Source organism: Homo sapiens, chromosome 7 (assembly GCF_000001405.40).
Source record: "Homo sapiens chromosome 7, GRCh38.p14 Primary Assembly".
NCBI classification, from domain to species: Eukaryota; Metazoa; Chordata; class Mammalia; order Primates; family Hominidae; genus Homo; species Homo sapiens.
In genome coordinates this window covers 157568412-157582089 of record NC_000007.14, presented here as the reverse complement: position 1 = coordinate 157582089, position 13678 = coordinate 157568412, and the positions used below count along the sequence as shown (strand labels likewise).

At 48.2% G+C, this 13678-nt stretch overlaps 1 protein-coding gene and 1 non-coding gene across 9 annotated transcripts in view; both read left to right on the top strand.

Moving 5' to 3' along the window:
• Positions 1-13678, top strand: part of PTPRN2 (protein tyrosine phosphatase receptor type N2) — a 1048768-nt gene that overhangs the window by 1005734 nt on the left and 29356 nt on the right. For all 8 annotated transcript variants that reach the window (XM_047420678.1, NM_130842.4, XM_047420679.1 and 5 more), the window contains 4 exons: positions 3950-4069; positions 5311-5477; positions 10597-10650; positions 13124-13188. In XM_047420678.1, coding sequence (XP_047276634.1) covers positions 3950-4069; positions 5311-5477; positions 10597-10650; positions 13124-13188 — 406 coding nt within the window. The remainder of the gene's footprint in view (positions 1-3949; positions 4070-5310; positions 5478-10596; positions 10651-13123; positions 13189-13678) is intronic.
• MIR153-2 (microRNA 153-2) lies at positions 7668-7754 on the top strand. Its single transcript, NR_029689.1, has one exon. It is a non-coding gene; the product is annotated as a microRNA 153-2 (primary transcript).

The following is a 13678-nucleotide window of genomic DNA, read 5'->3' as shown; positions in this document are numbered from 1 at the left end:
CAACAGGAGGGCATCCCCTCGCAGTTCTGGAGCCTGGTAGTCTGAGATCCAGGTGTGAGCAGGGCCACGCTCTCCGAAGCCTGTGGGGGAAGATCCTCACGGCCTCTGCAGTGTCCCGTGGCCGCCTGCCATGAGGGGTGTGGCGTGGGTGGCCACAACACTCCATCTCTGCCTGTCTGCGCGTGGCCGCTCTCCGTGTCTGTGCCTTCTCGAGGTGTCTCCCTCTTCTTCTAAAGACACAGTCACGTTGGATTGGGACCCACCCTCAGCTCAGTTGCATCTGCAAAGATCCTGTTTCCAAATAAGGCCACATTCATAGATACCAGGGATTAGGACGTCAATATAAGCTGTGGGGAGGACAGCGTTGAACCTGTAACAAACAACAATATGGTTTTTAAATCTACAGTCAGTAAACTTACTCAGTTGGGTCAAATAACAGCCGAAGTCTGCACTTCTTGTTCCTTGGGTCACTGTCCGAATCACTGAATTTCTCCACTTGCTGCTGCTGAACAGCTGTCAGGAGACCTCACAGCAAGCTGCTGTGTCCCTGCCGGGCGCGTCGAGATGGCTCAGGTTCACAGAGCCTGGCAGCAGGCTTTAACCCCTGTGTTTGGTGGTCTCTGAGAACCACTGGGCTGACCACTTCCATTCCTTCTGGAATCATAAACAGCAAAGCGCAACATTGCTCCCCTCCCCACCCCAGGCCCACAGAGCTGGCACAGCTAGAGCCTTCAAGGGGGATGCTGAGGCCTGGGGACGCTGCACTGGAGAAGAAGTATGTAAAACTGGGGAGTATCAGTTTTCCTCCAAAGCGTGGTGCCAGCCGTTCACACTCGGGATCCAGCACTTGCGGCTCATTTTCAGTCCATGTTGGTGACTTTGGTTCGATCCAGGGATGGTGGTGCAAGTGCTGGGATGTGCAGGGGCTCAGGTGTGCAGGTGCTGGTGTGTGCAGGTGCTGGTGTGTCCAGGTGCTCGGGTGTGCAGGTGCTGGAGTGTGCAGGGGCTCGGGTGTGCAGGTGCTGGGGTGTGCAGGGGGTGTGCAGGTGCTGGGGTGTGCAGGTGCTGGGGTGTGCAGGGGCTCGGGTGTGCAGGTGCTGGGGTGTGCAGGGGCTGCGGTGTGCAGGTGCTGGGGTGTGCAGGGGCTGGGGTGTGCAGGGGCTCGGGTGTGCAGGTGCCACGGTGTGGAGGTGCTGGGGTGTGCAGGTGCTGGGGTGTGCAGGGGCTGGGGTGTGCAGGGGCTCGGGTGTGCAGGTGCTGGGGTGTGCAGGTGCTGGGGTGTGCAGGTGCTGGGGTGTGCAGGGGCTCGGGTGTGCAGGTGCTGGGGTGTGCAGGTGCTGGGGTGTGCAGGTGCTGGTGTGTCCAGGTGCTGGAGTGTGGAGGGGCTCGGGTGTCCAGGTGCTGGGGTGTGCAGGGGCTCGGGTGTTCAGGGGCTCGGGTGTGCAGGTGCTGGGGTGTGCAGGGGCTGGGGTGTGCAGGGGCTGGGGTGTGCAGGTGCTGGGGTGTGCAGGGGCTCGGATGTGCAGGTGCTCAGATGTGCAGGGGCTCGGCTCGGGTGTGCAGGTGCTGGGGTGTGCAGGTGCCACGGTGTGCAGGTGCTGTGGTGTGCAGGTGCTGCGGTGTGCAGGTGCTGGGGTGTGCAGGTGCTGGGGTGTGCAGGTACTCGGCTGTGCAGGTGGCCATGGGGGCCGTGTTCTCTTACCCTTCACCAAACAGGAAGTGCCAGTAATGGTCATTTCTGGAATTCAGGCATACAGTTTTGTAAACTGCGCATTCCAATGAACTGCATTAAGATTAAATAAGGATCCTGGGTCATTATTTACTTCCTGAAAGAGACAGTTTTAGATTTCTCAAAGATTTGTGACACAAACCAATGTTAACTTGATTAAGTCTGAAAAATCCTGTATCCAAATGAGGTCACATTCACAGGTGCCAGGGGTTAGCACTTCCGTATTTCACCTGTCAGCAAAGACCAAGTCAATGAGAAAGAAAATAGTGAAACTTCTCCCCGATTAGAAATTGAACCTTACTCGACTGGGATTTTTACTGATTCTGCATTCATACCAAAATCCAAATTAACTTTTTGCGATGTATTCTGAGGTTATCTGGTCAGGCGCGCTGTTGAAGGCTGGAAACAGATGGAGAAATGCCATAGTTTTCCTCCTCGATTGAGTTGCTTTGTACCGATTCAAAGGAACACAAGATAATGTAATCAGTTCCATGAACAGCTTGTAATATTGGTACCCAATTGGGCTGCCTATTTGTTTGATTTAGTAAATTCCCCTCTCTGCTTTTATACACAGTGACCTAAAAAGAAATATTATTCCCCAGAGCGCCTTTGGGATTGCTTGTTTAAATTAAGTTTCATTTGGATTTAATCTTAACCAAATCTTCAGAGAGCCGGGAAGGCGCCCCATAATGAAGGGCGGACGCGAGAGCCAATGAGTGCGGCTTCCAGGCCGTCCGGGTCCCCCCAGTCGACGGGGCTCTGTAATGTCACACTTGGGTGGCACGGAGCCGAGTGCCGGATGATTAGTTTATGGTCTAGATCATTGTATTTTTATTACACTCATAAAATCTGTGTTTCTCCTCATTTTCGTAATGGCTTCCATGAGCTTCTCCACCTTCTGAAGGCACATTAAATTGTTATGTGATGGAAGAACCGATTTGGAGGAGCAGGTTTGAAAGCCTGAAAAGCCTGGCGTAAGAAACATGTTTTGAATTCTCATCTTGTTGTCGGATGGGCACTAAGGAAAGAGAAAGTGCACAAATTTGAGCATAATTCTTATTTATTTGTGGGCGTTTTGTAAATACTTCAGTTGGTTCCATTGGCTTCCGATGTAAATGTTACACAGTGAGGTGCCTTGAGGATATTGACTATTTCAGCCCCGTGAGAACATAAATCAATATTAAAAAAGGAAAATGTCGTGTTTGTGTCTGATTTTTAAAATATAAATGTGGAATTCAGTAACATGCGCTACGATGACAGCATTTTATATTTGGGATATGAGGGTTTTTAAAATAACAAGGTCTTAATTGGATTTTGTGTCTGTTTTTAAAAGAAATAGAAACTGTCTTGGATACCAAATTTACATCTAAATGCAGTTGCTTATAAACATTTCTGCCAAGTTAATGTAACCCATTGCAGAAAAAGCAGACCCCTCTTCACTCTATAATTTCATATGCTAATAAAAATCTACAAATGCCACATCAGTGTGCCCCACAGGATTAGTGGTTTTGGGTAGTTAGGCTGTAAATGTTAAGATGTGGGTTTACAGCCACAAGTAGCCAGTTGTGTTTGCAAAGAAACGAGGTCAGAGGACTTTGTGTCTTTGTAATTTCTGTGGGTTTAAATGTGCTTTTGTTTATTGTGTTTCAATGTGGCTAATAGGAATTAGTAAATCAATTTGGTATTTGCTTTAATCTGAATAGTGTTGCCATATTTCGGTATAAACAAATGAAATTGCAGCAGTGCAGTACTGCTTTCCGTGAAGTACTTTGAAAAGAAGCCTTTCGGAGGCTGCTTCTGACAGGACAGCAGCTTCACGAAGCAAAACGTTTCTCTAGGTGAGCAAAATGATGCTAGCCACCAGCAAGTGAGGGTGTCGGCACCGCCTCGAGAAGTGCTGGCTGTTATGTGTGGCGTTGTAGAAAGTTTCCTTTACAGATCAGAAGTTGGAAAACCACACAGCTGAACCTACACCTGAGGAAGCTCTAAATGGCATGGGATAAATTTGCGGGGTTTTTTAATATTTCGTGGAACATGCAAACTATGGGCCAGTGCATTCAGAGATGCTCAGGCAGCTGCGGAGTAAACATGTCTGATGAAAATGAAATAAATGTCCTGTGAATGGAATAAATTTGGACTGTGCTTCCGAGTGCAGTAATTACACATGTCACGCGGTGATGAGACAGTCACACCGCGGCCACGGGCCTTCTTTGTCCGCAGATGGTGTGGGAGAGCGGCTGCGTGGTGATCGTCATGCTGACACCCCTCGCGGAGAACGGCGTCCGGCAGTGCTACCACTACTGGCCGGATGAAGGCTCCAATCTCTACCACATCTATGAGGTACTCCGACCAGAGCCACCCAGGGCAGGACCCACCAGCCGGACGAGGACGGGCCCTGCTCCTCCTCCGAATGGGATTCGTTAGGGCCCCCCAGGGCCGCATGCAGGGAGGCTCAGCGCACCCCATGTTCAGGGGATGGAGGCTGAGCCACCCCCGAGGGCCGCATGCAGGGAGGCTCAGCGCACCCCATGTTCAGGGGACGGAGGCTGAGTCACCCCCGAGGGCCGCATGCCCGTGTGGATGGTTCACACGGCTGTGTGCTCATGAACCAGACCCTGGGAGTGTGGTGTGGTTTTTATCTTTTAGATTTTTCTAAATCCAAATGATAACAGAGTAGAAAAAACATTCGCCTCACAGCGTGGTCCCGGTCCCATATAACAAGCCTTTAAGTGGGGTCCGTTTTTAAGAAAACCTGGCGCCCATCCTTGATGCCAGTGCCTGAGCCGTGTGGCCTCCCCGTGGCTCTGCTTGGAGTTTCGTGGCTGGATCATGTGACCTTTTTATTTGAGGATAACCTGCTCACCAGTTTATTTATCTGGCTGGATTTTCTGCCCCCATCAAGAATGAACTAAATAAACGTGGGTGATTAAGCCAGCACTAGAATGCATGCTTTGATTCTGTTTGGCATTAAATGAGTGAGAATGCCAAAGCTCCACAGCAGGAAGCGAGTTAGAGGCTCAAGTGTGAACCTTAAACCACACAGCTGTGGCCTTGGGGTTCCTGCAGAAACGCTTAGGCCCGGAAGTGCCTGCGCTGGGGTTCACATCAGCGCGACTCCGTGAGCCTTTTGCTTTTCCTGCTCTAGACCCGGGTGTGCGCAGCTGCGACGGAGTCTCACTTAGAGTGGAACCACTGAGCAGAACATGTAGTCGTGTCGCTGCTTTTGTTGAAAAGTGTAATTTTTCTCTGGTTCCTTTTTTTGAGGGTTTATGTAACATGGACATGCAAAAGACAGAAAGTAGGATAGTTTTGGATTGTAACCTTTTAAAAAATTATTTGACGCTCAAGCCCCTAAATAACACTAAGCACACACACCCGCACGGAGCTAACTTCAGTGCGTTAACACTGGGAAGGTGGGAGGGGGCCGCGAAGCCGAGGGAACCCACCTGCGCTGTAAAATGTGCCCTCTTCGCAGCGCCCCCTTCTCTGGTCAGACGTGGCCCTGGGTTCCTCAGTGCCTGAGGTTCGGTTCACAATGTCCACACCTGTCTCTGTCCCCTCCCTCCGCTCCTCCCTGCCAGGTGAACCTGGTCTCCGAGCACATCTGGTGTGAGGACTTCCTGGTGAGGAGCTTCTATCTGAAGAACCTGCAGACCAACGAGACGCGCACCGTGACGCAGTTCCACTTCCTGAGTTGGTATGACCGAGGAGTCCCTTCCTCCTCAAGGTCCCTCCTGGACTTCCGCAGGTATGACGCGCGGCCCGCCGGCAGGGCAGTGCGCGCTGAGCGCGCGGCACAGGGGAGCGAGGCTTCGGTGCTCCTGAGACGCCCCTGGCGCCGAGGGCCGCGTCTGTGTCGGCGCCGCAGGGGGGAGGGGAAGGGAAGCGAGAGGCGGGAAGACTCCGTTAACGGCACGTGTTAATCGTGAGCGATTTTCTAGCTTCAGAGGTATTAAAATGTGAGGGGGAATAGGCATCTTCGAACTGTGGAAATAGGGCCATTATTTTTGATAAGGTTCTTCAGTTGACAAAGAGCCTAAAGTGTATGTGCCACAGGATATTGATGCATAAAGCTCGGATGTTCAGTTGGATTCTCATCTGGCTGCATGGGATGAAAGAGGTAGCGAGCGCAGGCCCAGATACCACCCTGCGTGATCTTGCAGGGAAGCCCGGAGACACTTAGCCCGTGGCTGTCTGTATTTTTAGGGCTATTTTGAAACTGACCCTCTTTAAAAAATTCAGTTTTTTGTTCATTGCTCCAGTCAGCCAGTCACCCAATACGTTGTCTGGTTTGAGAGTGTATTTACTGAACTGTTGAAGTGAATGCTAGACTCTGTCTTACAGGAAGAAATTGACAATGAAAAAAAAGCAGCATTTAAGACCACAGCTTTGATTGTGGTAAACAGTCGGTCCGCATTGGCTAGGTGGTGGTGCTTAGTGAATAAACCACCACAAGGAAAATGAAATTGTCAAAAGCATCAGTGACGAAGCTCTAAATTGTATAGAATATGTCTTACATTTAACTGATCAGAAGTCTACCTATTGAGGAAAAGAGACAAATATCCAAACAAGGAGAATAAGAAGAAAAAATGCATTTGAATCCAATGCCATGCCCCACTATCATAAAGTGACTTGATTCTTAACAGTTACTCATTCTCGAGTCTACAGTTATGTAACTGGAGGGAGGTTAACGAGACAAAGATTGTCATAAAGAAGCGATTTTTGAATTCTCTGTGGAATTCTTGAATTTGTGTATTACAGATTCTGAAGCTTATTATGATTCAATTTATTTTGCCTTTTAGTCTACATTGAAAAGCAAAATGCAGTTTTTTGTAATTTGAATCAATAGAAATCAATCAAGAGCCTCTGCAAGGAGACACTTGAATCTGGTGTCACAGCCACAACACACACTCAGTGGCCCCTGCCTGCCGTCACCTCCCCTGGGGACGCAGAGCGTAGATCCAGAGTCCTGAGTACATCCTAAAACAACTACTGTACACGGCTCCTTCCTCACCCACGCTAATTTCCTGGCCATTATGTACATTCTGTCAATACGGATTTATTTCTAAAGACATACTATGTAGAAATCTTACATAATTTCCTGAAATAGAGTCTTCAAAAAACAGTCATTCCTGGCAAAATGGATGTAACTACAAAGACGGCAATTCATCTTAACACCCCGTCTTTGCGTTCATCCAGTGTGTTTGCACGTATATGCATATGGGCACGTTGCTATGTCCATATCCATATATGGACGGGAACATGTACATCACCGACCCTCAGTGTTTATGATTCATCACCAAGAAAAATTGGATTCCCAAATTTCCCTTGCTCCAGGGTCTGAGGAGATACAGCCTAAGAAGGTTTTTGTTAAATTCAAAAGCTAATGAACCCCCAGACACGGTTTTGAAAGCCACGTCAGAGTAGAAAGCTTTTCTTGCCTGCCTTACCTGGCACCGCCCAGCGTTTCGGCCAAGGCCACCTTTCATGTGTTATCTGGACAGTGGGTTTGAGCGAACACATTCTCAGAAAGCTTCACACTTAGACAAGCATTGCCGGTGGCTGGTTTTCTGTATAAAATAGCCACCCCGATTTCAGCGACAGGAAAGGTGAGACCCCTTCTGAAGACACCGGCCATCTTCATGCTGCAGCGTTTCTTATCTTTGAACAATAGACGACGCGTTCTCACTCTGGCCTGGCGCGTTCGCCAGGCACCGAGATGTGTGATTAAATATTTCTGGAGCCCAGAGGGAGCGCATTTACACTTTAAAGAGAAACTGCTAAGAGATAATTAGCATCACATGTGAGGGCTTTGCTTTAAAAACTCTCTCTCTCTCTCTCTCTCTCATTATTACTCTCTCCCTTCTTGCTGTGTGCAATGGTGCTCACTAACGCTGCTCACGGTAAAACGGACAAACCCTTACCTTGCCAGCTAATTAGCGGTGGCCAGTGTCATTTTTGTGATGTTGCAGCTAGTAATATGAGCCCAGTTGCATAGTCACAAAAGTGATCATTGGAAACTGTGACTGTACTGCAGGGGCGATGTGGAAAGCCCCTTTTCTGAGCCTCTAACGACCTCTGACCTTGCTTGCTGGTGCTTTGCATGACGGTGCGCTCTCGCCCGGTGACCCCTGGGTTGGTTTGTATCACTAATCGTTCTTTCTCAGTGAATTCCTGTTGTGGAAGTTTCTATGATACCAACTTTTCTTACTGTTGGAGACCTTTTGCTCACTGATTCTTTGTTCTGATGGAGTCAAATGAGACGGCTGTGTCACCTTCCTGAATAACTCGTGGTCTACATCTTGGGTCAACCGGATGAACTCTTGTGTTCAATATGTCGTGGTTTTCCTCTCTATTTGTGATGCTTTGCGTGTAATAATACAACTGCATGATCCTTTGTAAATAAAGTCCTCAGCCATGCCACACCCTGTATCTACACTGCACATGTCCTTGACTGCCCGTGGGTTTTTGTAAATAGGTTGAGCACAAGGTGGGGGCTGGTACGGATATGAAAATTACAGCGAAACCTTCCCAAGGCCACCAGGCACAACATGTCAGAGAAAATGGTATCTTCCGTATACTGTGAGATAGAGACAGGAGTTTCGGGAGTGGGGAAGCAGGTTGAGGCCATCGTAGCCACAAATTCACTGGCTAGGAGCATTTCCCAGCCAAGGGGGTTATTACTGCATTTTGCCAAAGCAGGAGCTGACCAGCTATCCATGAGCCACCGCTGTCTACTGACTTCTTATGCTGGCCTTTCCTCAAACCAGCACACTTTCTTAAAGGGTATCTGGTTTGGGGTTTGGGGTTTGGTTTGTTTTACTGTCCCTTTTTTGGGTGTACTTGGTCTCATGAGGAAAAAATGAGCAACCCCTGGTGACTGGTGGGTGTGGACCCAGAAGCTGAGCTTAGTCTCTGCGTAGAGTGGACCACGAGGTGTGAAACACAGCAGGAAGCTGGAGGAGCAGAACTGAGGTCATTCCCATTTGCAAGATTCAGAGGCTGAGCCATGGCCAGTAAACTCCTCTGCCAAAGGCAAAAGGCCTTTCAAAGCAAAGCCACTCACCATTTGGTCTGATAGTTGAGCCTGCTTGATTCTACACGTGCACACGTGTGCACATACGTGCTCACGTCACACACATGCGTGCAGTCTCATGCACACACACATGGTCTTTACTGAGCTGGAGGGCTTCCCACCCCCATGCTGGGGTGCACCCCTGAGGCCTGGTATCCATTCTGTCATCAGGAGCCCTCGATGCTTTACAGCCTGAGTCAGGAATGGAAAATTGTAGAAGTAGACATAAGTGGGTCTGTTTTCCAACCTCTTTATTCTCCAGGGACCAAGAATGTTCAAGGCACTCTGGCATACAAGTGCTGTTGCCTCTAAGGAGTTCACCATTGCCTTCCCCGCCTCTCCCCAAAGCCTTCGCACCACTGTGTGCCCCGGAAAAACAACAACAAACACCTCTAACAGAAACGGTGACACGGCCCTGGAGGCCGTTGCTGGTTGTGCCTGTGTCTGAGCCCGCCCATTTTTGGGCATCAGCCTCGTGTTTCACAGACCAGAGGGCAGCACAGATCAAGTGCGTCCTGGCTAGGCTGTGGCCGCGGCCCATCTGCAGGTGGGCACGCCGAGTCCAGTCCCTGCAACTGCTCCTTCAGCTCCCGTGGTGCCCTCCAGACTGGGCATTCACACTCCCATCAGAAGGGCCTTGTTCTGGTAACTCCTCAGGGAATAGGAAGAGAGGAGGAGAAAGCTCTGTGGTTTGGGCTCCGCCGTATTCAAGCATCCCTCCCCTCATGCTCACTGGACACTCACCTCCCCTCTCCTTCCACAGCCACCCTGCCCCTCCTGGCTTCAAAGGTTTGTAGCAAAGCACCGGTTGATGGAATGTTTACTTTCCACGGACTCTTTGGTGCTGGATAGGCAAGGCTTTGCAAAGAAACGTGACATTTTCCCATTGATGGTCCATACTTCCATTTTTCTTAATTTGTTTCTTGTAGGAGTTCACGCAGCACATTGTAGAACACTCTCCTTCACACATGCTTTATTCCAATAACCCGAGGTTCCGCCTTTAATTTTACTTATTCAGAAATAGTTCACTGACAACTTTAATGGACTTCATAAACATGTTTCATTGTTTCACTGAATTAAAAAAAAACACCTGGATTTACACAGTGAATTTTAAATCAGTCCTCTGTTTTGATTTAGGGGTTGGTTATGAAATCTTAAATATATGCTCATTTCTAATTTTTACAACTTCTGATCTAAACTCTGCACAATGAAGTTGTTTGTATACTCAAAGTTATAAGCATGGAAGGGACTTGTCTTGGACTTCATAGAGGTTTCTCCGTAATTTAGATATCCTTACCAAAAGCTGACGGGTCACAAATGCCCTTGAAGATGCTGTTTTTAGACAGTATGGAAATAACAGTTTTCAATATGATGTCTGGACTAAGAAATTTTGAGCATAAATTGCAAAACTCAAAAATTTTAGTGAAGAATCAAGATGTAGTGTAACAAAAGGTCAAGTCAACATAAGCAGAAACAGAAAGAGGAGAGCCTGCAGGGGTGGGACGGGCAGGACAGGCCGGGAGTCCACTGGTTCAAAGCCTGGCACCCCTCCTTGGAAGAAGAAAGCAGTGTAGAGGTGTAACATTGGTTTTAAAGCTCCGATTAATAACGTCATGTTGAGAAGAAGAATAAATGTTTGATATTATGCGTATGATTTTTATTTTCTCCGTCAAAACAAGCGATTGCAAAATGATTTCAAACACACAGACCTTGCGCTTTGTTTTAATAGTTGTTTTGGATAACGCAAAGTCTTAGTACACAACGATAATTTTTATATCTCTTTTTATTTCAGAAAAGTAAACAAGTGCTACAGGGGCCGTTCTTGTCCAATAATTGTTCATTGCAGGCAAGTACAACTTTTAATGGATTAAGAAGTTTTGGCTACCTCAAAAACTAATCTATGCAATTAAATACAGAAGCTTAACTTTCTAATTGCTTAATAAATATAACTAACTGGCACTTCTAAAGGAAACCAAAAATATAAACTTACTTTTCTATGCCATTTGGGTAAATACAATTGGGCGTTGCTTGTATTATGTCTGTATAAACTGCACATGGCTTGCTTTTTTTTTTTTTTTTTTTTAACTCTGTTGCCCACGCTGCAGTGCAATGGCGTGGTCTCGTCAGGCTCACTGCAACCTCCACCTCCCGGGATCAAGCGATTGCGCCCGCCACCACGCCCGGCTAATTTTTTTTGTATTTTTAGTAGAGACGAGGTTTCACCATTTGGTCAGGCTGGTCTTGAACTCCTGACCTCAAATGATCCACCGACCTCGGCCTCCCAACGTGCTGGGATTACAGGCGTGAGCCACCGCGCGAGGCCTCACATGGAATATTTTCTAGCAGCCCACGGTGCAGTGTCCTGCCTTCTACTCACCCGTGAGCATGTCCTGCCACCTTGCTTGTTCTTAAACCCTGTGGTCCCATGACACAGAAACATCGAGACAATGGTTTCAGCCTGTTGCATTGTCTCAACCACCAGGACGTCCAGCAGAGGCTCAGAACCCTCTGCAGATGGTGAGAAATGCTTGGGGCCAGTTATGTACAGGGACGAAATCTGTCATTACAGGAGGTACAGCCACCTCCAGTTTATCATGTGGGTTCAGGCCTCTGGGTAAAAATTCAGTGACTCATATCCCTAAGTACGTTAAAACCACACCAGTAAGAATAGATTTTACGCAAAGAAAACTCAACCTAATAGTACTGTCTCTGCTGGACTTCATACCCAACTCCTTTTGGTGAAGAACTCATATTCCATTTTTCTAGAACTGTCTTATAGAATGTTCTTCCTGCCTGGAATAAAAAGGAAACCTGTCTCCAAAGAACAAACACCAAATCTGTCAAATCCAATCAAGAAGCATGTGTGTTTTGTGTGTGCATTCCTGTCTATGAGAGAGGAGGATGAAAATAGATTACGGTTTGTTATCCTTACAGAGTAGAGTAGAACATCTTTTTTACCCACAAATGTATCAAGACAAGCAACACTTAGTTGGAAGATTTTTGAAGTATATCTTAAAATATTCATGTGAATATATGCTGTGCATAGGAGACAAGTGAGAAAGGCACTCAGCAACCAGAATGCTCACCGTGGCCCTTTGAAATGAGCAGTGAGGGTTACGTGGCGGCCCAGGCCGACCGCCTCTCCTCCTTGGTGATGCAGTGAGGGTGTGAGGATGTGAACGTGCCGTTTTTTAAACATTTACCATCCCAACTGCAGCTTTTTTCAACCATTTGTTTGAGGAAACATGTTAAAGCCAAAATGCGCTGATTCTTTACCATCAAAAGATCACCTATAGGATTCCAGTCATTTCTTGGGATCACAGACGGCATAGAAAGCAGAACCGAAAGTGTGATATCTGCTGGGTAGTCACATCTTTCTTGAAGTCTTGAAATGGAAACATTTATTCGTTTTCCGGAAAGTCACAATTGATTTTGCTAGGATTATAAATGTAAAAGGTCCTCTGTTTAAAAGCCAGTCATGGGTGTGAACACGAGCCCTATGTACTTTTAAGAAGGTCTCTCAAACTCATGCAACCCAGTGACAGCGTCTGCACGGGGGCAGGAAATGGCTTCACACATTCCTCATAAGAAAAGGATGATCCTGAGGCTACTCTTCTTCCAGAAAAAAAGGGAAATTTTTTTTCCTTTGCTACTGTTGAAGTATTATTCAAAACATTTTTACAACTCTAGCCCAGATGGTAAATATTCCAATTATAGCTGGTGGGATGAGAAAGAGATGAAATGAGAGTGCTTTTTAAAGAGTAAGATTTAGTAACGACTGTTATGTCAATTTCTCCTTCTGAGACGGAGGACCTGCGTTTAGAAGGGGTGGCAGGCAGCCTAGGGGGATGTGCCTGAAGTGTCCCTGCGTGCATGAGCCAGCGGGGCCCAGCCGCCCAGCGCCCTCCCCTCTCCGCTCGGGAGGTTGCCCGGCAACACTAGAGAAGGCACCTTGCAGATATTTTCAATACAAATGCCATCAACTCTGACACAGTCAAACGCTTAGTTCATTTTGTTCTGGCAAAATTTACCACATCTTTGGCCAAAGAGGGGGGAACAAGCAAGAGGGAGTCACATCTGAGCACAGCAGCTCATCCCACAAGCTACAAGCTGCTCAGAGGCTCGAAGCCCCCAGGGGCCTCCCTTCTCCCCTCACTTGGATTCTCCCAGCCCGCGTCCTTCCTCCCCCTCTCACATCCGCCATCCTTTCCTCTCGCCGGCCCCCGTAAGCAGGAAGGAAATGAACTGTCACTAGCTTTGTTGTGGGTCGGGCTTCCGTGTGGACGGCAGCACTTTCATTTCTCTCCTTCTGTTGGCAGTGACGGTGCAGGCCGGAGCGGCACCTACGTCCTGATCGACATGGTTCTCAACAAGATGGCCAAAGGTGAGACACAGACACTGCCGCTTTGTTGCGGCTCAGAGCTGGGATGGCGTCGCTATGGCAACGTAGGGTGCCGTGTTCACGGGAGGCCCTGGAAAAAATTCGCTGCTTGTTGTGCCTCTGCTGGGCCGTAGGAAGGTGGTTTGCAGCAAGCACATCTGCTTCTGAGGCTGGTCGTTTGTTACCTGCCTCTGCGTGCCGAGCCTGCAGTGGGTCCTTTGTTACCTGCCTCTGCGTGCCGAGCATGCACTGGGTCCTTTGTTACCTGCCTTGGTGTGCCGAGCACACAGTGGGTCCTTGACAGGTGTTTGCTGCATACGCTGCAGCGTTAACCTCAGAGCCACGGAGAAGCCACCCTCGGGTCCTTCAGTGTTGTTGCAGTGCAGAATGCCGCTCCAGTATTTGGTGTAACTCCACTGTTGTCAAAACGGTATTCACACTAGAGGCACACTAAAAATATCCGTTAGTAATTGCCATCAAATGTCAATCACCC